This window comes from Homo sapiens, chromosome 13 (genome assembly GCF_000001405.40).
Source record: "Homo sapiens chromosome 13, GRCh38.p14 Primary Assembly".
In the NCBI taxonomy this organism is placed as follows: domain Eukaryota; kingdom Metazoa; phylum Chordata; class Mammalia; order Primates; family Hominidae; genus Homo; species Homo sapiens.
The window spans coordinates 50,363,235-50,388,082 of record NC_000013.11 but is presented as its reverse complement, the minus strand read 5'-3'; the positions used below and the strand labels follow the sequence as shown (position 1 = coordinate 50,388,082).

The 24,848-nt window shown below is 39.4% G+C and overlaps 1 long non-coding RNA gene across 1 annotated transcript in view, besides 2 other annotated features; it reads right to left on the bottom strand.

Moving 5' to 3' along the window:
* DLEU1 (deleted in lymphocytic leukemia 1) overlaps nucleotides 1-24,848 on the bottom strand; it is a 446,475-nt gene that overhangs the window by 140,561 nt on the left and 281,066 nt on the right. The gene's annotated exons all lie outside the window — the stretch shown is intronic.
* Nucleotides 9,082-9,678: an enhancer, noted in NCBI's record as "H3K4me1 hESC enhancer chr13:50952541-50953137 (GRCh37/hg19 assembly coordinates)". NCBI's record gives its function as "activates a minimal SCP1, AML or CMV promoter by ChIP-STARR-seq in primed H9 embryonic stem cells {active_cell/tissue: H9 hESC(primed)}" and the evidence as "EXISTENCE:reporter gene assay evidence [ECO:0000049][PMID:30033119]".
* Nucleotides 20,956-21,250: a silencer, noted in NCBI's record as "tiled region #6827; HepG2 Repressive non-DNase unmatched - State 23:Low, and K562 Repressive non-DNase unmatched - State 24:Quies". NCBI's record gives its function as "represses a minimal TATA promoter and a strong SV40 promoter by Sharpr-MPRA in HepG2 and K562 cells {active_cell/tissue: HepG2 | K562}" and the evidence as "EXISTENCE:reporter gene assay evidence [ECO:0000049][PMID:27701403]".

Genomic DNA, 24,848 nt, shown 5'->3' with positions numbered 1-24,848 from the left:
GTGCAAGGCCAATGTCTAATCTATTCCAAGAATCAGAACCTAGTTAATGTCTCTCACACACTCCTCTAGAAATGACCATAAAGTTAATGCCATAATCAAATATTTGGGTTTTTTGTTTATTGGTTTGTTTTGTGCCTCCTTCATAATCAATCTCTATTCTGAAAAATGAGAAGTAAACTGCAGCTGTTGGGATTTTCTGCAGATGGTCTCGAGATGGACAGCAAGGTCCCCAACATAAGACTCTATACACTTATGATAATTTTTGTCAGCCATAAACAGATATAATCTCAACCACAATGACTTTAGGCATCCCAAGGCTTCAATCAAATAAGTTTAGATGTCCAAGTATTCAATTTTTATTTAAAATATCACCAGAACTTCAGTGACTCTGAAAACCAATCTTTCATTTTTCCTTAATGGTACCACTGGCTGATCAGACAGACAGGACTCCTGATATTCTAAGTATAAAGGTTATTAAACTGTTAGGCAAACTGTCTTCAGCGAAAAACAGGTTTCAGTTTTCAGTAACCCAAAATAGCATACCACCGTGGCCACTGTGATCTTAGGTAGATCCACCACCGGTGAGGGAATCACTAAAAAAAATGGAAGCTACAGAGTAGTGTTGCCTCAAGCCCTGTGAGCCACCAAGCCTTGATGCCAGAAAGTCTGGATATCATGCAAAGTAGCTGGAAAGCAGGCTACCTGTTGCATGGTGGTGAACTGACGGCATCATCAGGCATTCTGCCCTCCCCACCACAATCTAAATATCAGCAGATGAAATAAACTCGGCGCCAGTGCTGAAGTGGCTCCAACTGTCTCCATCATCAGACACACCCCCTGGCCCTGGCCACTGGGAGGTGCCCCAGAGACAGCAGGTGGGGCTTCTGCTCTCTAAATACAGGAGGCCCTTTCAGCTTCTGCTCTAAGCTCCTTTTAAACCACCACTGGAGATTGGAAAAATCAAAACTTCACAGCAGTGATAAGAGCACTGAAAAGAAGCAGATTTCCTGAGTCTTGAAAGGAAGGGGAATTGGAAGATAATATTTTTCTCACTGCTGTGCCTGTGTTTTCTTAGGCCCAGCTAAATCCAAGGCGGTCTCTCCCAGGCCTAGGCTCTCCGGAGGACTGCGCGCAGGCAGCTGCCGAGGGAACAAGGGAACTTGCTGCCCAAAATGTGTAGCTGCGAGTCCAAGAAAAGGACACAAAATCCTCAGGAAGAAGGTGTGTAATATTTTTGTTGAATCAAATCGTGATTGTGTAAGGGGAAAAAAGACACACATAAAAGGCTATTTAGCGTTTGGCAAAAAGGGGGAAAAAAGAGCTTTCTGTGTTCAGTACAAACTCACTTCAAGGGAGCTGTAGATCAAATTACCAGCCTGTGACATGTGGAGATTGGCTGAGCAGCGGGCTGACAGTAACTCAAATTCCAAAGCTTCTGGACTGTTCCCGAGCCCATAAACTACACAGAAAATGATCCTGTTTGCTGAATTATTTTCAGTTGCAACAGCTGCTGTAACAACTCAGAGAATTTTAATATGTATATACAGGGCTGATGAGTAACCACTTCAAATATTCTGCAATGGGGTCTCATCTTCCCTTTCAATCCTTTTAGGTGGAGGTGCTAGAGCTGCTGTGAGGGGCCCAGAAAAATGAATGGGCATGGGTGCATGTTCAGGGGTTCACACAAGGAGTAGAATTAGAACTGGAATTCTGAGGGGAAGATCCACAGGAGGAAAAGAAATGTATCTTTTCACAATAAACATATACGTATGCATGACTTTTATAATTCAAAAAGTGAATTTTTTAAAAAATCTGGATAAACCCCATATATCATCATGATTAAGAAAGTATCCAATAAAAAAGGTTCGGAAATTAATTTGAATTTAACAAGTGAGTTTGCAATTTAATTTACTAAGAGGTGAGTATATGAGTGGCATTACAGAGTCTACAGACAAGGTTTGGTTGGCACCTGTGTTTATGGACCTCTTGTAATAAATCAAGGGAACATGGGGATGAGGCCCAGGCTGTACTGGAGCAGGGATTGCAATTGCCAGACAGTCCAGGTAAGGACTTATTTATTCATTTGGGCTGGCACAGGGCTTTAAAGCATTGGAATCTGAATGTCTTTAAGTGGGAATGCACCCTTCATTGTGACAGCAACCACCACACGTCTTTATTCTACATCCTGGATTTGCACATCCACATGCATGGTCCCTAAGGCATTTGAGTTTCCAACACCTGCTGTCCAACCCCATCACTTCCATTTCTGATCAGGAAGTCAAACGTCAGGATATCAGTGAGTGAGAAAGGAGAAAACTGTGTTGGAAAGTAAATGAAACAAATTAACAGAATAACAAAATTGATAAGCACCATTCTAGCAGTATATCAGTTTGTTGGGGCTGCCCTTAACAAAGTATCACAACTGGGTGACTTAAACAACAGAAATGTATTTTCTTGCAATTCTGGAGGCTGGAAGTCCAAGATCAAGGTGTTGACTGGCAGGGTTGGTTTCCTCTGAGCCTGTGTCCTTGACTTACAGATGATTGACTTCTCTGCATGTCTTCACATGGTCTTTCCTTTATGCATGCATATCTGTGTCCTAATCTCCTCTTCCTGTAAGGACTTCAGTCATATTGGATTAGGGCCCACCCATATGACCCCCTTTTCCCTTCATTACCTTTTTAAAGGCCCTATCTCTAAATATAGTCACATTTTGAGGTATTGGGGGATAGGACTTCAACGTACAAATGGTCAGTAGGTTACTATTCAAAGAAGAAAAAGTTGTCTATACTCTCTCTCTCTCTATATATATATATAAATATATAATCAATATTGGCCCACAAAAACATTCCCCCTACAAAACCTTCTTTAGCCAAACCAACCCATAATTAATCATAATACAGAGATTCACAAACTCTTCCATTTATACTCCTGGGAGTCTTAGAGGATGTCTCAAAACAGCCTTCAATAAGCATAAAATTCCTTTGGCATCTCCCTTTTGCAGGCTATTCCAAAATATACCCATGTTTATTTTAATATAAAAGTAACTTCCCTCAAGTCTACTCACACTTTAGGAAATTGCACTATGTTCTGCTTGTGGCTTTGTGTTCTTTTTGACAAACCATATCTAGGCCTAGGGGTAACCACTAAGCCCCATTCCCCTCTCTGCAGCAGGGGTGGAGAGAGGGGATCTCCTGTTGTCTTCCTGCCTCAGAGCCACACCTGTCCTGGGCCATTAGAAATTTCTCCTGCAGATCTCCTGCCATTGCACTTGGTATTTCTGTTATTGTTGTTGTTTTCATGAGAATTTCAATGGCAAGATGGAAAAGGGCAAATCTCTCCATTTTAGATTATCACGTAATTTATGAGAGGACTATGAGTTTAATGTTAATATGAGTTTTTTTGGGAACCAACAGTGAAGGTGTGAGGTATCTGATAAGGGGGCTAGGCAGGTGACCAGAGAGAACACAAGCTCTGCAACTTCAATCTCATCATCTTGGCCAATATATACAGGCTGTTCCTTTCCCCAGCCAGCATCCAGGACCAGAGGCATTACCTGGTTTTATAAAATAGTAAACGCATAAATTTTATAAAGCAGTAAACAATAAAAATATAAAATAGGAACTAAAAAGTTATGACAAAAATACAGAAAAACAGATAATAATATAAATAATACTCAAGTTAAGACCAAAAATTGAAAAACAGATAATAAAGATAAAAATTGTTTTGTTTTTGTGTTTTTTTTTGTATTTTCTAACTTTTACCATGAAAATGTTCAAACCAACAAAAAAGTTGAATAGTGAAATCAATGCCTATATATCTTTCAATTCAATAATCGTTAATATTTTACCTCATTTACTTTCTCCATCTCTCTCATGAATGGCCTAAGGATAAGGATATTCTCCTACATAACCCTGATACCATTACCACACCTAAGAAAGTGAACCATTATTCCAGTTCATATTCAAATCTCCACAATTGTCCTAAGAATATCTTTGCTTGCTGTGTTTTGTTTTGTTTTGTTTTGTTTTTGTACCAGCATCTAATTCAGGTTCCGAAGTTGCTTGTGGTTAATTCTTGTTCCCTTTTACTCTAGGATGGTCTCACCCTATCTTTTGCTCCCCCCATACCATTGCCTCTCTTTGGAGAGAATGTGTCCCTATGCTATTGTGTAACTTTTTCTATATCCCCTATATATAGGAAAAAAAGAACTTTTTAAAAGTGGATTAAAAAAATGAAAAATGTTAACCCTAAGGCAGCATTAAAGAAAATAATTATTAAATGTAATTAAGCAAGTAGAATACAAAAATAAGAAAAAGAATTGAAAATATTGGACAATACAACTTATCTTAGAAATAATTTTTAGCAATAAAAATTTCAGAATGATAAATTTAAAAGGAACTAAAACTTTGGGTATAAAACTGGATAACATAAGAATGAAAATCTAATTTAATAAAAGGAAAAGGTCTAAGAACATGTATATTTATAAAAGGGGGATAATAATAGGCCTACATGTATTAACATAAGGTGAGTGTTTAGAGCAGTGCCTGGTACATTCTGATGGCTATGTAACTGTTTTCTATGATTGTCATCATCATCATCACCACCAGATAAAATGGATATTGAAAAGCAAAAGTTACAACAGGAAACCTAAAGTATTTATGAGGAAATAAAGAGAAGATAATATTATAATGAGCAAGAATAAAAATCCCCAGTCAGTAAAACACTTCCATTGAACCCCCACGCAATTCACAACATTGTCATTCAGGAGACGAAAAGGGGGCAAATACCCTGGAAAAGTCCACCAGCCTCCTGGTGACAGGTAAGGGTCTGGGAATTTGCACCTGTGTCCATACACTTCTGTGTACCTATCACAAATGACAGCAACTGTTTTAGAGCAAAGGACACATCACCACATGAACATCTCGGAAATGACAGAGGCTGGGTCACTTATGAGGGCCTCCCACACCAGCACAAATTCTGCACCACCCACCCACAGTTGCTGCCATGCCAGCCCAGGAAGAGTCCCAGCCACTAGAAGAGAAGGAAGACATGCATCTGCACTCCTGCACACCTAGAGGCTGCTTCCCGCAACTAAGTAAGCATTCTCTTGGAAAAAAAAAAAAATAGAATGTGGAGATCTAAGACATTCAACTTTTTGAGGCTTTCCCCAAGTTTGTCCATATAACAAAAGAAAATCTCCACATAGAGATTTTGAAATTGCTTCCAAATTCACAAGTGTGGCAGTTACTCCCTTCTCTCCTACACCTGATCATCCTTCTCCAACAACACAAACACACACACACACACACACAGCCCTCCCAACCTCTCGACACTCTCATAGCTCTTAGTCCCTAGAGTGTGGCCTTTGTCTCTCTTCTCCTCTACTGCTAACCTGTTAAGGGTCAATTATAGAGCACAAGCTTTGGGGACTAATCCATAAATTTGCAAAGCTGGCCACTTGTTTAAAAACAACAACAATCTTAGATAAATTTGTTTTGGCTTCAAGTTTCCCCAAATTCTTTGGTCCAGACATGATTGTTAACAGATCACAAAACTTTCTGGAGGAAGAAAGTGTTCTAGCTGGAATGATGACAGTCACACGGCTTCCCAAAAGTTCTGAGGAGAAGCACAACATGGAGAAGTACAGGTCAATTTTGCCAATTTGAAACGCTCTGCAGCCCTTTGCCTGCCATGGGCCTGGTCAGAGCTCTCAAATGGCCCCATCTCTCTTATCTCAGACAACAAATGCTCTGTGCTGCTTTCCTGAGTCTCCATTTTTCTACCTGGGATTAAAGAGTTCCAAGGGCCCCTTCAGCTCCAAAAAACTGGGTTGCAAATAGAACCCGAGCTCTAGTTCATTTACTAAACTGCACTGCACATCCAGACCACTTATCCTGAGCTTAAAGTTTCAACAGTCCGCGTAGGAATCCATTGACTAGAAATACTTAACAGAATGTCAGTTGAATAGAGACCTTATAAAGCACTTCTGTTCAATATAAGTAGTCTCTGATCTGCACTTTTATCATTGCTACTAAATGCTCCTGACCCTAGTAAATAATAAATGAAAAAGTTTTCTTACTCAGTTGAAAACTAAGAAACACTTGATTTGACGACTAAAAGGATTGGATTCTTTGAAAATGTTTCTAAAGGAAAAGGGACATCATTTGTCAGCCAATAATGAGAAAAGGTTACCAATAGTATTTAAATTGAGATTTACCTGTGTTAAATTAGGTTTAGCCTAAAGCTGGTTTCTTACATATTTTAAGTTCAGCCTAAAGGTTTCTCCATACATAGTGAACTGTAATCTAACTGGATGCGTACACAGACTGTCACCTATGCTTGTGCCAATCACCAAGTTTGGACCAATCAAAGGCAGCTAACTGTTCAGACTGTGTACAAATAAGGCAAACGTGGAGCTGTAACTAAGCCAGCTGTTTCTGTATCTCATTCTGTCTTCTGTATATCACTTTCCTTTTTCTGTCCATAAATCTTTTTCAACCACAAGCCAGCACAAGGTGACACCAAACCTATTCTGGCTCAGGACACTGCCTGATTCGTGAATCATTCTTTGCTCAATTAAACTCTACTAAATTTAATTTTTCTAAAGTTTTTCTTTTAACACCTGCAATATAATCATAAATGTAACTGTAAGGGGAAAATAAATTGTTCTTATTTTAAACAAAAACCAATTGCAGTTGCATTTTTTTTTAATTACCCATGTTTACCTTTCTGTTTGTTATTTGTTTGTCTATTCAACTTTCCTCCTGTAACTCAGATGTTTCTTCTGGAACCATTTCCCTTCTTCCTAAAATATGTCCTTTGGAACTTCCTTTAGTGAGAGACTTTGGATAATAAAACTCTCATTTTTTTGTGTGCTTGAAATTGTCTTTATTTTACCTTCATTTGTGAAGATAGTTTCACTGGGTATAGAAATTTATGGTTGATGATTACTTTTGTTCAGGATTGGCCTTCTAAAGGAGAGGTGGAGTCAGGAATAGATTCCTGTTTTGTTTTGTTTTGTTGAGGAAAATACCTCATGGGTATGGATAGGCTTTTGCAGACAAGGAATGGGAGGCCTCCTGGGCTCCTGGTTATACTAAGGCAAATCCAAGAGAGATGGATTGCTCTGCATAGCAAAGTGAGGGGAATTTTGCATTTCTAAGGCAGCCTAAAAAAGAAAGAATATGCATCCATGAATGAGGTAAAAGGATGATATTCAGAGGGTCTAGATAAAAAAGGAACTTCAAAAAATATAATGGAAAATGAAGAGGTTGTGAAAGGAAAATAAATCTTGGGACCCCGAAATCACTAAGCTGAAGGGAAAAGTCAAGCTGGGAACTGCTTAGGGCAAACCTGCCTCCCATTCTATTCAAGGTCACTCCTCTGCTCACTGAGATGAATGCATATCTGACTGGCTCATTTGGAGAGGCTAACTAGAAACTCAAAAGAAAGCAACGATTTGTCTCTTATCTACCTATGACCTGGAAACCCCCTCCCAACTTCAAGTTGCCCCGCCTCTGCCTCGAATTGTCCCACCTTTCTGAACTGAACCAATGTACATCTTAAACATAGTGATTGATGTCTCGTGACTTCCTAAAATGTATAAAACCAAGCTGTGCTCCTACCACCTTTGGTACATGTCATCAGGACCTCCTGAGGCTGTGTCACAGGTACGTGTCCTCAACCTTAGCAAAATAAACTTTCTAAATTAACTGAGACCTGTCTCAGGTTTTCAGGGTTCACAAGGTGGAGAGAAGACCTAGTCAGTGAGATTAAGAATGATCTATAAATTTCTAGAAAATTTTTGTTAATATAATTGTTTCGTGAAGAATTAACTTTACACACACACACAAAAGCTCTGGCTTTTGCCCTCAGGTACAAGAAGGTGATGCTAGGCCCCTGGAGTGTCCAGTCTAAGGGGAGTATCTTTGTTTGCCTGGGGACTTTGGCAATCAGAGAGTCTAATTACGTGATTTGTGATGGAGGCTTTAGGCCATGTTGTATCAGTTCACACTTGCAGAGGAACTGAGGATGAAAGATGCTAGCCAAAACTTCTGGGAAGGTCTGGAGACTGAAGATCAGCCATGCAGATAGTATGTGATTAGGACTCAATAAAAATTCTGGACACCAAAAGCTCAATGAGCTTCCCTGCCCAGCAATGCCCTGCATACTGCCACAAACAGTGGTCGGGAGGAGGTAATACTCTCTATGATGCCAGCGAGAGAGGATGAATGGGAGCTCCACATTTCGACCCCTCCTGGGCTTTGTCCAAGGCATCTCTTCCTTGGCTAATGTTAACTAGTATCCTGTTCCTGTAATGAATCATAAGTATGGCTTTCAGTGAATTCTGTGGCTCTTTCTGGTAAATTATCAAACTGGAGGGTTGTTTGGCAAACCCTCTGAACTTGTAGCTGGTATCAGAGTAAGGGTAGCCTCAGCCCTCTGAAAAGTCAGCTTCACACAATAATCTCATACCAGCAGTACTCTGGGGTAATAAAGGACAAGAGGCAACACCCTGCATAGGAGAAGGCAATGCCAAAACAAGAACGGCCTCCAGAGGTGAGAGCGACCATGGAAACCAAGTGACCGCAGAGGCACAGCGTAGGTCCCCAATCCTGCATCCCCACAAAATACACTTCTTGGAAATAGGGGCTCCGATCTTTTTGTTGTGCACTAGAGAACAACTTGCCTTTTTCACATGACCGCTGTGTCAAACAATTCATGCCTTTTTATTTAATTAAAGGACAATCCCCCAATCATCCTACACCACCCCCATAAGACCATAAGACTTAAAGGCTCCCAGGAGGCAGATTATTAGGTTGTAACAAAACCAGGCACATTAATAAATAAAAGTCTAAAATTCTTGCTTTGGCTGGGACTTAAACTCTTGAATAAAATGCATGCAAATATTTTTTAAATATATGCAGTGCATGGTGCCTAATAGATATTCAGTTGATGGCTTTGAATAAGGGAAAAATGAATGAATACATAAATGTATGAATAAATACAGTTTATTCTCAATGGCATGTACTTATTCTATTAGAGAAAACATGAATACTTAAATAGGTAATCCACAAAAGTCCAACCTACACATTTTAACTGGTAGCCTCATGCTTCTCCCAGAAGTTCTTACCAGAGAAGCAAACAGGCAGTAAAAATGACTGGCTCAAGTTTCATCTCTTCAGCCTGCCTGCGCTTGGTGCCTTGGAACTTTTAACTAACAGCAAAATTCCCCAAATGCCCTTGTGACACCAAGGGTAAAAGAAAGAGTCTTACTGCCAATAAATAGGATTCTCATGCCCTGTTCCGCTAAGCACATAAGATGAAAAGTTACACAATAAAAGCAGCACTGCAGTTTTTATTCCACTCTAAGCCATTATTTCCTCAAATAGCATTTGTGGTAACTATCTTTGATCGTTGACTAGGGCCACAGGTGGTTGGCCCTAGCTAGTGTATCAGGAGTGTAATCTGAGTTGTCTCTAAACACATCACAGCAATGACAGATTATACCAATCAGAAGCAACCGTGTAATACCAAGCTGTAAACTGCAGACATTCTTTGGGTTTACGCTCTTAATTTACTTGCCACGAATGGGCTCCTTGAACTTTGTAGGTCTTTCATTTTCCAAAGGAAGCACATCTTCCGGGGCTTGAGTTTAATTCGATGCTACTGCTGCCAAAGCCACATGGGATGCAAATGAAACTGGGTTCACCTTTCTCCCCCTGCACTGCTCACTAGGCAGTTCAATAGATCCATTGGCAAAAAAAAAAAAAAAAAAGAAAAGAAAAAACAGAAAATTGCAGTGGTATTCTGAGACAAAGCAGCCAGAGCCAGCACTGAAAATTATAGAACTAGTAATCTCATTGCAAAGCATTAAAAAGCTTAGAGAGAAGGCTAATGCTCTGAAATCAAAAGGGTGGGACAATCAACACTAAAATCCAGAAGGTTCTACAGGACAGGGGAAAAGCCCAAAAAGAAGCTATAGAAAACAAAGCTTGTCTACGAGAGGCTGCTGGATTGATATGTAAATTAGCCTAGACCTTTTGAAGAGTAATTTCCATAAGTATTCTAATCCTTAAAACCGTGCATATGCTGTGACCTGACAATTCCCCTTCTAGGACTTTATCCTGAGAGATAATTACAAATGTGTGCAAATATTTACCTTCAAGGTGATTTACCACAGAACTGATTACAGTAGCAAAAAATAAATAAACAGCCAAAATGTTCAACCATTGAGAATTCATTGAACTTTGGACATACAACAAAATATGACATAATAATTAAATATGTTGTGATAAAAAGAAAAAGATATTTACAATAATTAGGTTAAAAAAATAGAAAACAGTGTATGTGGTGTGCACCCATTCTTGCAATTCGAAAACAGAGAAAGAGCCCTTCACAGATATATACCAAAATTTAACAGTGACTGAGTGAGGGTAACTATAGGTATTTTTATTGTCTGCTTTGTACTTCATTGGGTTTTCAATTTGTCATGTACTATTTTTGCAGAGAAAAAAAGTTATTATAAAAAAATCCTTAAGAATAAACCAGAAGCATTCATTAGACTTTTTTAGCTACAAGGTACAAAGTCCTCAAGCTACTTCAAATTATGATAGAATGTATTACAAGAATGCATTGGGTAATGAGTAAGTTTAGAAGTGGAAGTCACTGGAAATAAAAACAGGAATGTCTTGGGGCAATCAGGAAGGTGCACAGCCCAACCTAGCAAAAGACAACTGGAAGGTCCTAGAGTTGATCTAGGAATAAGGTTACCTCTTTGCCCCTCTGGTGCAGGCAGTCCATCCACCTCTCCTCTGTAACTTGGATTTCCTGTCTCCCATCCACAGCTCCTGACACAGCCTATCAGCCACCCTGCCTCCCACTCTGCTTTTCTCTTTCATCTCTCAAGGCTTCCACCTATACCTGACTGATTTCCTCGGAAATCCTCAGGGACCCTGCTGCCTCCCAGTGGCCTCTATGTGTTGTCTGCTAATTGACTGGTCCTGTCCTTGATTGGCAGTTGTGGCCAGTCCATGATCTGGCCAGCCTGGAATCCAGTGCCCACTCCCATCACCAGCCATGATGAGGGGAAAAGTCCAACTATGGCTGCCTATGAGCAGTAGCTTGTTAACTGAGTAGTTTTCCTTGGTAGAAAACTGAGGGTGTCAAGACCTCACAACTGACCTGCCAGTAGGCCAGTACCAATATTTCAAACACTGTATGTCCGGAACACTGTTTCTACATTAATGAAATCTGCTTAATTTTGTTCAAAGTAAAGTTTCACAAAGTTATGTGGGCACAGAATCCTTTTACTTTTTCCAAAACACCTGCTGTACTAATACCAGGTACCAAGTTTAAGAATTGCTGCTACAGAGTAAACTGTCATCACAGAAAAAACAATTAACAATGATATTTGTTCCATTTTTCTATGCCTGTATTCTCTGCATAAGTCATTTGGTTAAGATCCTCCGTCTTCTTCAGAGGAATTAAAATATTTTACCATGAAAATATATGGCAAGCCTAGATTCATTCTTACTATAAAAATGAAGAGTTATTAAATATATTAGTAAAATAAGAGCAGCTTTCAGTTACTAAGGTCCTCTTGGGGATATAGAACTTCTAAATTAAAGAAATAAATAATCAGACTTAGAAACGAACTTGTAAACAGAATGTAGTTCATGAGTTTGTTGGCTTTTCTCCCCTGTGGATGGTTCATAACATAATTTAAAAGGGGAGAAGTTGAAGAGTTGAAGCCTTATTTAAAAAAAAAAAGAAAAGAAAAGAAAAGAAAAGAAAGAAAGAAAAGGCAGAGCCAAAAGCAAGGAAAGGGAGAAAGTAGAGATCTAGAACAATGTGAGACTGTGGCTAATAGGTCTGCAGTCGGAAAGGAATCAGAGAAATGGGGCCCAGGAAGTGGAGGTATGAGTAGCAGTTCATTTGGATACAATTCGGAGGTGGCTGGTAGCTGGCTGCTTTGTGTTTTGCATGTGTCTATATTGTTGCTGCTGCTGCCGCTGCTGTTGTTGTTGTTTTTCATGCCAGTTCACCGTGACTTTGGTCTGGATTCTGTGCTGATCCAACTCAAATCCCTCTGACTCAGCCAGGCTGCCAGCTCTAGAATTCCTGGTCATCAGAATCATTGTGGTTAGAATACTTGGGTCTTGCTGAGAAAAAAGGGCACAGAAATCTAAGACAAGTGAGATGCGTGCTGCTTGTTTTACTATTTTTGTTTTAGTTTTGGTTTTTATCTCTTTAATAAGAGGACTGCTATTCATACACAATCAGATGAAGCTTAAAGAGTCTGTCCAGTAACCAAACCAGATGAGAGATGACCACTCACATCATTTGTTATATGCAAGGATATTAAGGTCAAAGCCCTGTGTAGGAGAGGGAGAAAAGAGGGATGGAGGAAGGGAAGGGAAGGGGAGGGGAGGGGAGGGGAGGGGAGAGGAAAAAGAGAGAGAGAGAGAAAAGAAAAGAAAGAAAGAAAAGAAAAGAAAGGAAGGAAGGAAGGAAAGAAGGAAGGGGGAAAGGAGGGAGACAGCCAGGCAGACAGGAGTAGGGGTGGGGGGTTAAGGAAAAAAGGAGAGAAAAGGAAAGAAGAAATGGAAAAGAAATATACATCAACCCAAAATAATTCCAATGCTGATAATAATATTATAATTATAATATCTGAATACTTTTACCTATAAAAACAAAAACCTAGTAACAATAGCCACTGTTATTACATGCTTAGTATACACCAGCAGTGTGCACAATTTATCCATTATGGCATTTTATTCTCAGGACACCTCTTTGAGACAGACACTGGTACACCATCCCTCATTTGCAATTCAGAAATCTAAAATCTCTGAAAACTGAACATTTTTTCATAAGTCTAAAGCAAAATTACTTGGCAGCAAAACCTAACAAACTAACATGAGGCTACTTATAGTCTTTACTTAACTCATTTGGTGCACATTTCACTACAGAAAAATTAATGTGTTTCATTAAGGGATATTGCCCTCCAATGCCTCTGAGTGTTCTATATAATAAATGACAATATGTACTTTATTATCTTTCTGTAATACTAAAAGTTCTGAATTCTGAAACTCATCTGGTTTCAAGAGTTTAGGATAAGGGATTGTTTCTGCCTATTTTACAGATAAGGAAACTGAGACCAGTTCTGTTTGTCTTCATTGATGTATTTACCTTGGAATTTTGGTTTGTATCTTTGGGACTTCGCCTTTTTGGTGATGGCTTAAAATTTTTTTCTCCACACTATCTCCTTTCACTTATGCACTGATGATATTTTAGCAAGTTCTCTGAGAGAAAAGTTTTTTAAAATCTCTTTTTTCCCCCAACATGGAAAATGCTGACATCCTCAAAAATTTTCCTTGAACCCAAGTGAACTCGTTTTTAATTCCCCCACCCTTCATTTTCAGATTACTCAGTGTATTTAATGCTGCCCTTCCTCAATTCCACCCAAAGCTCACATGGCGACACGAAGGGCATTGGTGAGGAAACCAGCGAGGAGTCTGCATGAGCCTGAGATGTTGCTAAGCTCTCTGATATCTGCGGTGAGAGTGTCTACGCGAAGATTACCCATGCTGGGCTCCAGCGTTTCAACCCTAACCCCACAATGAGCGCCTGGTCACTCTGTGGTCTAAACTCTGAGAGAAGAGAGCATTCCATACTATACTACATTTCGTACACAATTATTTGATACATGGAAGAAACCATAAATATTATTTATCTTACCATGGGCCTCAGAATGTCCAAACACCACAGCTAATTAGGGTTCAATAATAGATTCAATAAGCTGAAGCCTGTTTTTCTGGTTTATCAAAACAAGTAAAGCAATGGCCATTACATTCTAATTTGTAAGCATTTTGTTTGATGGCTTTGAGTAGAAAGTACTTAGCTTTGCCTGTCCTATAGGAGGTCCAGCCACCATCTAAAGTCAGCACTAAACTATATCTGTTGCCATTTACGATACTTTTTTCCATTTGTGGAAACAAGTTATTTGTTATAACCAAACATATATTCAAATACAGACGGAGCTTTTGCTAAAAGATTAGAAAGTCAATATTTCCTAATTGGCAAGGAGAAGGATTTGGTCAAAGCCAATGAGAATTTCTTCTATGATCAGTCTTTCCCCAGGAGCTGGCTCCTGTGAAGATTATAACTCACCTGCTGCAGATGCGAGTAAAGTTGACACTGTGAAGCAAAGCATACTAGTATATTTCACCATCTCAGGGTACCCCAGTTGAAAAGTTTTAATCAAGACTCCCTAAACCATGATTTCTCAACTTCAGCACTATTGACTTTGAGGGTAGATAATTCTTTGTTGTAGGGGCTGTCCTATGCATTGTCAATGTTTAGCAGCATTCCTGGCTGACACCCACTAGATGCTGGTAACATCCTCCTCACCAGTCATGACAACAAAAAATGCATCCAGACATTGCCAATGTCCCCTGGGGAAGAAAAATCACCCCCAGTGATGCTCCTCCACTCCTTGTGCATGATATACATTAATATTTCCATGGAGGTGACTTGCCAAGGTTCATAACCTTGTCCTTAAGCAAGAATTTGCATGTGTGTGTACCTTTATTTTTTTAATGAATTGAACATTTATTTAAAATCATATTGTGCTATTTATAGTATTCTTGTCTTGCATGTTTTACTTAATCACATATCCTCCAGAACTGTGAGAATTTTGTTTCTGCTATTAAGCTACCTAGTCTATGGTATTTTGTTATAGAAGTTCATATTAACTAAATACTAACTAAATCAATCTCTCTCTTTCTTCATAAATTTATTTTTAAACTATCTTTAAAAGAATATACTGTGAGCATGATTTCCATTCTTAACATATTAAACATTCATTTTTCACTTTATAATGATAGCAAAACAAAATTATCTGATGTCATGTTTTTTAAAACTATATAATAAAATTTTTATTATTTAAAAAATTTATATATACATATATAAGTAATATGTAAAATGATATAGCCACTCTGAAAAACAGTTTGGCAATTTATTACAAAACTAAGCACGCAATTACCATTTGACCCAGAAGTGATTGTACTATACCTGGTCACTTATCCCAGAGAGATAAACGTATGCTCCCACAAAAATCTGTACATGAAAGTTCACAGCAGCTTCACTGGTGATAGCCAAAAAATGAAAACAACCTAGATATCCTTCAGTGAGTGAATGTTTAGAAAGAAAAGAAAGTGGTATATTTACTTATTTTCATAGTATAAAAGATTGTATTATGAAAGTTAATATTAAAATATATAAATCCTTGATGCATTTGGTGCACAGTGAAGGGTGTAATTGTGTGTGTGTTTGTGTGTCTGTGTGTGTGTGTTTGCAAATGGCCACCCAATTATCTCACTCTTTATAGAATAAACTACTCCAACTGGCCTTCCACTCCACCACCCACTTTATCCCTTTACCCTTCATCTTTATCCTCTTCAAATAGCTCTTGTGGAAGTTGAAATGCATTCGGTCGTGTATCTTCCTCTCTTCTTTTCAAAGAGGTCTGTACCAATATTATCACTTGCCTAAAGAGTTTTTTTATTAACACTCAAATTAAAACTGCAGAAGGGAAGCCCTACAACTCTTAGAGCCTCCTGAACGCTACACAAAGCTTGCCTAGGTGGAGAGCTGAACAGCAGGGTGCCCAAGTCCAACTTTGACAAGAAGGGAAGCTTGGGCTTTGCTAGGACAGCAGGTCAGGAACCTTCCCGGGACATAACTCCTAAAGTGGGGCTTCCCAGGAATAGTGCTGGGGGCTTTAAAGAGACTTTCTCCCAAACCCAATCCAGAGGCTGAGGTTGATCTGCCCACCCCTGTGCTCTGCATACTGCAGATCCTAGAGCAATTTCTGCTAACAAAGCTAGTCCTGTGAGGAATCCAGCTGTGTCTTGCAAGCCATTTTCACAATATTATTTTTCAAGTCCCTTGTTGGATCTTAAGAGAGGAATTTCAGGGAAGGGAGAGGAAAGAGTGTCAAGGGTTTAAGTTCACACCTTATTATGCTTTTACTACTCTTCATAGTCACATTTTAACAATTCGTGGTAAGAAATAAATACTTTGGCTCTTGGCGGAATAATTCCAAGTTACTCTTCGCCGCTCAGCTCTCCCTGGCTCACGGGTCAAGCCTTTCTCTCCAATAGGGAGTCCTCCATTCTTCTCATCTCACACCTCAATTCCTAGAACAGCCTCCTCACCAATTTTCTTCCTTCATTCCTCCCACTCTACTCCATGCCACACATATCTGTCAGAATAATCTTCTAAGAATCCTACTTACATCATGAAACTAATTTAATTATTCCCGCTTCTCTCTCCCTCCCCACCTCTCCAGGCTCAGTCTGAGTTCTATCTCCTCCCTGAACTGTTGCGCAGTGGCCCCAGTCCCTAGAGACCTTTGCTCTTCAATGCTGCCATACCAGGGCTAATATTCATGGGGTACAGATTGTCCACTCCCACAGTGTGTTCTGATGGGATTGGCATCCATCGCAATCCAGTCTGATGCCTGTGCAGTACTGGCTGTTAGAAATTTTGACAGATATTTTGACTGTCTTCCTTGTCTACAGCATCTATTGTCTGGATCACTCATCTTGGTATAAACTACACAGCCTTGCTATTTAAATATTCCCAATGTGCATATGTTTTTACTTTCCTACCAGATTGTGATTCATTCTCTGAGGGCAGCCATTCTTGCACCCAATCCCCAGGAAGGAGCCCAGAAGCACGTGCCAAGCTGGTCCCTCCAACACTGGCTAGAGGAATCAATGGATGGAGTAAATAACTAATTTACAATAAAAATTTAAACACTGCACTTACTTCCCATCATCCAGCCTACAAATTTTAGAGCCTCCTGCCTTGCCTTAGTGTACCCACCTCCAACACACTCCACCTGTCTTCTGCCCTCTCCCTCTTACTGTTTATTATTCCCTGAATGTGCACGCCCCGCCTGGCTGTCTCCCTCACACACTGAAAATGAAGTCCCTCTGGATGCTGCCCAGTGACAGTCCCTCCTCCCCTCTGTGTGCTCTGGACTTCCTACACTGAAACTTGAAAGTTATTTCTGAGAGACTTTAAATTTCCACTCAAGATTCCAACAAGTCAGAGTGTTCTGGGCAAAGCATGGATGCCAAGGAAGATACCCCAGTTTCATGGCTGACAAGCTTTATTGACGACTTATTTTAACTCTAGCTGAAGAAGACCATGAAACTAACCACCCCGTTTAAAACTGAAAACACACTCTCCTTGCTCGCAGCCCTCCCAATCTTCTTCAATCTGTTCTGTTTCTATATCACTCATCTCCTTCTAATAGCTTATGATTTACATATTTAATCTGTTCACTGTTCATGTCCCTGAACTAAAACATGAGCTCCACAAGGGCAGAGATTTTTTAAATTGTGGTGAAATACACATAATATGAAATTTACTATTTTAACCATTTTTAAGTGTACAATTCAGTGGCATTGAGTACATTCACACTGTTGTGCAACCATCACCACTATACGTCTCCAGAACTCTTCATCTTCTCAAACTGAAGCTCTGTACCCGGTAAACACTAACTCCCCACTTCCCCTTTTTGCCAGCCCCTGGCAACCACTCTTCTACTTTCTCTATGAATTTGACTGGTCTAGGTACCTCATATAAGCAGAACCATATATTTGTCTTTTTGTAACTGGGTTATTTCACTTAACATAATGTCATCAAGGTTCAGCCATGTTATAGCATATGTCATAATTTCCTTCCTTCTGAAGACTTAATAATATTCCATGTGTGGTAAATGCATATAGGCTACATCTTATTTATCTATTCACCTGTTGACGGGTACTTGCATTGCTTCTACCTTTTGGTTAATGCTGCTATGAACATGAGTCTACAAATATCTCTTCAAGATCCTGCTTTCCATTCCTTTGGGTATATTTCCAGAAATGGAATCATTGGATCATATGGTAATTATATTTTTAATTTTCTGAGGATCTACCATACTGTTTCCCATAGTACCTGTGCCATTTTACATTCCCACCAACAGTGCACAAGCGTTTCAATTTCTCCACATCCTTGTCAACACTTGTTACTTTCTGAAATGGCAGGGATTTCTGTCTATTCTATTTGCTGGTGTATGCTAAGCATGAAGAACAGGGCTTGACATGAAGTCAGCACCTGATAAGTATTCATAGAATTCAACTGTAGAACTGGTGTTGACAAGTGGCCCAGGATGGCCGGGGTTTGAACCTTGGCTTACACACTCAGACACTCCACATGGACACATTATTTGGCCTCCCTGAAGTTCAGGTTGTCATTCATCTGCAACAGCACCTATCTTGAAGGGTGTTGTCAAAGCCCAATAAGATGAGAGATGTAAAGCTCCCTGCCCACTGTGTCTGATACAGGACTCTCTTGCACATTTCCTTCCTTCCACACTGATTCTCTTGAACAGCACATTAAGCTGACTTGGAAAAAGACTATCAGTAATCAAGTTTGGTTAGAGAGAAGTCATTGTCTTTTTTGGTTAAGTTTCATTTGATCACCTCTTGATTTGTGAATCTAAGAGAAATCCCATCGACCCACAACCTCCTACACTGCCTTTTTTCTTCTTCGTAGCACATATCATTACTTGAAAGTATATGCAATGTCTATTATTTTTATCTGTTTATCCATTTTCTCTACCGGAACACAAGCTTCAGGTAGGAAAGGTCTTTGTTTTTCTTGACTACTGCCACATCTACAAGGCCCAGAACAATGCCTGCAACATAAAAAGTCTCAAGAAATATTTGTTAAATGAAGAATTCATTTAAACAGTTACTAATCACCTGTACAGGTATAGGCACTATGCTTACTACTGGGCATCCTATATAAATAAAATACAATTCCTGCCCTCAAGGATCTCACAGTTTAATTAAAAGATGATTATAAACAAATTATTAAATATAGTTTGAGATGCACAGTAAAGGAGCAGGTAAAAAATTATACAAAGAAAAAAGGTATTAAGTCTATCTGGAGGATGTTGTCAAAGAAGGCTTTCATAGGAAAGTGTCCCTTATGAATATTTTGAAGATTAACTAGGGTTGTTTCAGTAGGAAAAGAAGGAAAGGGCATTGTCAATTTAAGTGATAGTTAAGGTCACAAAGACAAGACACATAAGGCTTTATTGTGGAAACAACAAGTAATTTTGTGTAACTAGATATAAAGCTAAAGGGACAGTGTGATGCAACAGGAGCCCAGAGCCCAGAGGGGGCATAAATCATGGAGGCTTATTCAAGCATCATGCTTAGACTTGATGCTATAGATGATCAGAGCCACCAAAAGGCAACACACAAATAGATATTTATTTTAAGGAATCTATATGGCCCTGGTATGGCTGGAGGCCAGTTGGGAACCCCAGAGCTTCCTGGAGGACACCCACCATGGGGATTGGACCAAGCATTCCATTTTCATTCTCTGGGGGCTACAATGGGCTGCTAGACTGGCAGCTGGGTGCTGGACTCAAATTTGAGTCTTCTCATCTTCAAACTCTTCATCTTCTCAAACTGAAACAGCAAATTCTGAGAGTCTGAATCTCTGTTCTGACACTTTAAAGAACACTTTTTCAGGGTCCTAGTCACTGGGGTTTTAGAGCGGCTGCTTGAGTTAGGGTAGTTATATAGAATGTGGAATAAATAGCCATTGGACCTTTGGCTTTAACATTACACATTTCAAATTCTGTTTTATCTATAGAACTAACCTGGCCTATACTTGTGTTGACCCACTAGTAAAAAAGAGAATGTCTATTAAGCTTGGGCCAATTTATACTCTTTGAATGAATGTGTTCTGTATGGTGGGAGGAGAAAGATTTGGCCATACATTGCTACATCCCATGTTGCCTATGGACAAGAGTGTTCCTGACTGTATTCCTTTCCTAGGGCTACCATAACAAAGCACCATACATTGAGCAGCTTAAAACAGAATCATATTCTCTCACAATTCTGGAGGCTAGAGGTGTAAAATTGAGGTGTCAGCAGGGACATGTTCCCCCCTAAACCTGCGGGTGAGTGTCCTTCCTTGCTGCTCTCCTAGCTACTGGTGATTCACTGGCAATTTCTGGCATTCTTTGGCTTGTAACTGCATTAATGCCAGTCTCTGCCTTAGTTGTCACGTGGCATTCTCCTCATGTGTCTCTGTCTTCACAAAGCCACCTTCTTATAAAGACACCAGTCATATTGGGTTAGGGGCTACTCTGGTCTGAATGTTTGTGTCCCCTCAAAACTCATATGTTGAAATCCTAACCTCCAAGTTGATGGTATTAGGAGGTGGTGACTTTTGAGAAGCCATGAGGGAGGAGCCCTCATGAATGGGATTAGAACCTTTATAAAAGAGACCCCGTAGAGCTAGTTTGCCCCTTCCCCTATGTGAGGACACAGTCAGAAGGCACCATCAGTGGACCAGGAAATGGGCCCTCACTAGACACTGAATCTGCTGGTATCTTGATCTCAGACTTCCCAGCCTCCAGAACTATGAAAAATAAATATCTGTTGTTTATAAGCCATCTAGTTTATGGTATTTTGTTATAGCAGCTCAAACAGGCTAAGACATGAGCCCACTCTGCTGTGAGGGAGAACCTGTCCCAGGTCTCTCTCCTGGCTTCTGGTGGTTGGCTGGCAATCTTTGGCATCCCTTGGATTGGAGTTACATCTCCCCACCTCTGTCTTTATGTTCAAGACGTTCTCCCTGTGTACAAATTTCCCCTTCCTATAAAGGCACCAGTTATCTTGGTTTGGGACCCACCCTACTCCAGTACGACTTCATCTAAACTAATTGTATCTACAACGACCTTATTGCCAAATAACGTCACATTCTGAGGAAATGGGGATTAGGACTTCTACACATCTTTTGAGGGGAAGATATCACTCAACCTATAGCGATACCTCTTCTTTTGGCTGTTCAGTTGCAGTATTTAATCCAGTGCGATGAATGTGACAGTAAGTGTCCCAATGTGAATTAAGTCACCAGGCCAGCTCTGCCTACAAAAGCGCATAGTAGCACCATGGTTAGTTACCTCACACCAACACACCAAACAGCTTCACTTTCAAGATGACTGGAGAAGAGGTTGAGTGGGGTTTCATCAAACTTGTGGTCATTCTGACTAAAAGCTGGAATGGGAACTTTTCATTGTCACTTAAGACATAATGGCATTGTTGAACTTTAATGGCACAGCAAATAGAATATCAGTTTATGGGGCACACTCAGGTGCTTCTGTGCTGTCATCTCATTTGAGGCTTTTCAAAGGACAGTGGTGCTTTTAATCACAGCAACACTATATAATAATTAGTAATGACAATATGTACTTTGAGTTGCCCTAGAGGGCCACAGAATCTCAGGCTGCCACCCCTGCAATTAGATTAACAGCTGGCAAAAAGCCAAATTAGGGAGAGAGGGGAGAGATCTACTATCAAATTCAATAGGCGTTTGTTTTGAATTAAGCATTCAACCTCCTGGTGGGGAAATCTGCTCTGATTGTACCCTGCCATTTATATACGTAAAATACGTTAAAAGAAAAATACATATTCTGTACCCTGTTAGCCATTAACAGTTTTCAGAGTTCTTTCTCATTAGGCTATTTCTAATGGGACCCATGAGACTCAAGTTCATGATTGAGGGAGCTGCCCCTATGCCAGAGAAGGTCCCTGAGAACAACCAGGAAGACACAGTTTGTATGCCCCTTATTTATTTTATTTCATTCAAGCAAACAGTTGGCAAGAGCAGACATTTCCTATTGCCTGGGCACTGTTTAATCACTGTTTAAATATTTGCCATCCTGTCTTTGTTTTGGTTAGAATTGCTGAGTTAATGTAATACAGATTTGTACCCTCTGCTGAGTGAAATATAGATTTCGTCTTCTGAACTAGGGCTATGTTCACTGGAAATAGTTTTCTCACTCCCCACCCCCACTGCTTGTCTTTCATTTTATGCATTATATTAATCCTTTTCATAGCTTCTCAAATGCCTACAGGTTACCGACAAATTGCCCCCAGGCAGTTTCAACACTTTCGGTTTCAGCAAACCTGGCCTTATGTGTGACTCATTGTGAAATTTTAAGGACTCTTAAGTCAATCTCTGAGTACCAACTTAGAAAAATATCCGTCCTAGGCAAGAACCTCATCATCTGATGGACATTCTGAGGTTAAGGTAAAATGAGTTTCTGGCCTCAGGCCAGTTTCTGACCGGCAGCGGGTTTGTACCAAGGACCCCTTCTGTTAACGAAACTCTGCAAGGTGGAGCTGGATCCGGGTTAACTTGGCTTCTGTGTAACCTGATTTCCCCCAGGCCTCACAGCCTGGGTATACTTAAACAGTCACCTTAACAGTCATAACTCAGATTTCACTGCCTCTCACTCCCACCTGTTGATAGAGAGCCTATGGCTCCATATTTTACAGAATTTTTATAAAAGTGCATTTCAATTTTAACAGACTCTCAATGTCACACTTCACAAATCGAATGGGATCTGAACAGGAAAGAACTATGAGTATGTGGCAGCATTCTCACTCTTTCTCCTCCTCTCTGATAACCATGATTCAGTTCTCTAGCAAGGCTGTCATTTCCGGCTCCTTCTCCCCTCAGAACAAGCACCCTCTCACTCCCACACTCCTCAGTCCTCAGCAGTAGGTTCTTCTGCAAGAACTTGCAGACTGGCCAGATGGTCAGCTCTCAATCCCAATTGGACTCTACCTTAGGACTCCAGCAGACCTGAAATAGCTGCTCACTTCTCTGGAAAAAAACTTTGTTGAAATTAAAAGGTCTGAGGCCTCTTATTCCAATAATTGCAGACTAGGTAATTACTACCAAACCATCTACAAAAGCAAACTAGAAAAACTGGATAAAATATTAAAAATATGTTCAATGAAACAAGAAAGTGAACACAATAGTGAATAATCATCATGACAGAACCCAACAGAAGACATAAGATAGAAAACGAATGAGAAGAACCCTACCAAAGCCCTAACTTACTGACATGAAAGTTTCCAGGCCATATCATAGGAATGAGAAACTCCAGTGCAGCTCAACGATTCCCTACAATGAAGAAATGAAGCAAGGGTTTGGAAAGACCAACATGGCTAAAGTTGGCAGGACAGAGAGGGGACAAAGAGTTGCAGGGAAAGAGAATCAGACATCTGTAGATGGTCCCCCTGAATATTCAACAGAGTACTAATCAGTGCACACAGCTGAGGAAGCTAGCAGAGACCAGGGGAAGAACCATCTAAAAGAATTACAAAGAACAGCAACTGGAGCTCACATGAGGTCAGAAAAAGTGACTGTTGCCAGTAACTAGATTGAAGAACCTTATAATTTTACATATAATTGAGTAGAATATTCAGAAAGATGTTGCCTCAGTAGTAGAAGGTTATTAGCCCTAAGCTAAACGATGTTCTAGTCTTGCTTTCCAAATATGAAAGGTAAGCCATAAATGGATCAGTTTCTAAGTAACTTAACTGCATCTCAGAACAAAGCCCAAACATGTATAGGAATAAAAAAAAATAACCATCACAATGTCTGCCATTCAAACAAAAGTTATTGGGCATGCAAAGAAATGAGAAAACATTGAGGAGAAAAATTAGTCAAAAACAACCCAAAACTGACACAGATGTTAAAATTAACAGGCAAAGGAATTTAAAAAGATATTAAAATTGTATTCCATATATTCAAAAAGTTTAACAGAAATGGAGGAGTTATTTTTAAAGACCTAAATCAGACTCCTAGAGACAAAAACTGCACTGGAAGGGATTAATGGCAAGTAAATTCAACTAAACATTTAAGGAAGAAATAATGCCATTTGTACGTAGACTCTTCCAGAAAATTAAAGAAGAGAGGAGATTTCCCAATTCATTCTGCAAGGCCAGCATTGCACTGATAACAAAACTAAACAAAAATATTTCAAGAAAAGAAAACTACAACCTAATATTCTTCATAAAACAGATGTAAAAATTCTCAATGCAATTTTAGAAAATCAGATTCAACAATATATAAAAGGGATAATACATCATGACCAAGTGAGGTTTGTCCCAGGAATGCAAAGCCGATTTAACATTCCAAAATCAATCACTGTAATTCACCATATTAACAAACTAAAAAAGAAAAACTATATATCATTTCAATACATGTATAAAAAGCATTTGACAACATGCAACCTTCATTCTGATAAAAACCCTTAGCAAACTAGAAACAGAAGAAAAGTTCCTCAAATAAACGAAGGACATGTACAAAAAATCTACAGCCAACATCCCACTTAATCGTGAGAGACTGAATTCCTTTCCCCTAAGATCAGGAACAAAACAAGGATATCTGTTCTCACCACTTTTGTTCAGCATTATACTGAAGATTCCCACCAGCACAATATGTAATGAAGTCCAAACTAAAGGCATAAAGATTGGAAATAGAGAAGTAAAAGCAAGAAAATGACAAGATCATCTGTGTGGAAAATCTGCCGGAATGTACAAAGAAGCTACTAGAACTAGTAAGTGTGCTAACTAATATAGCAAGATTACAGCATTGCAATACTAGTATACAAAATTAATTGTATTTTGTATATAAGCAATGAAAAATCCAAACATGAAATTCAAAATCAATACAATTTACAATGACATCAAAGAATACAGAATTCTAGGAATAAATCTGACAAAAATATAAAGAAGCTATACACCAAAAATAATAAAACATTGCTAAAAAATTTAAGATGGTCTTAATAAATGAACAAACATACTTGCTCATGAATTGGAGGATTCAATATTTTTAAGATGTCATTTTTTCTAAGTTGATGTATAGTTGCAACACAGAATCTGATAAGGAATAAATACTCAAAG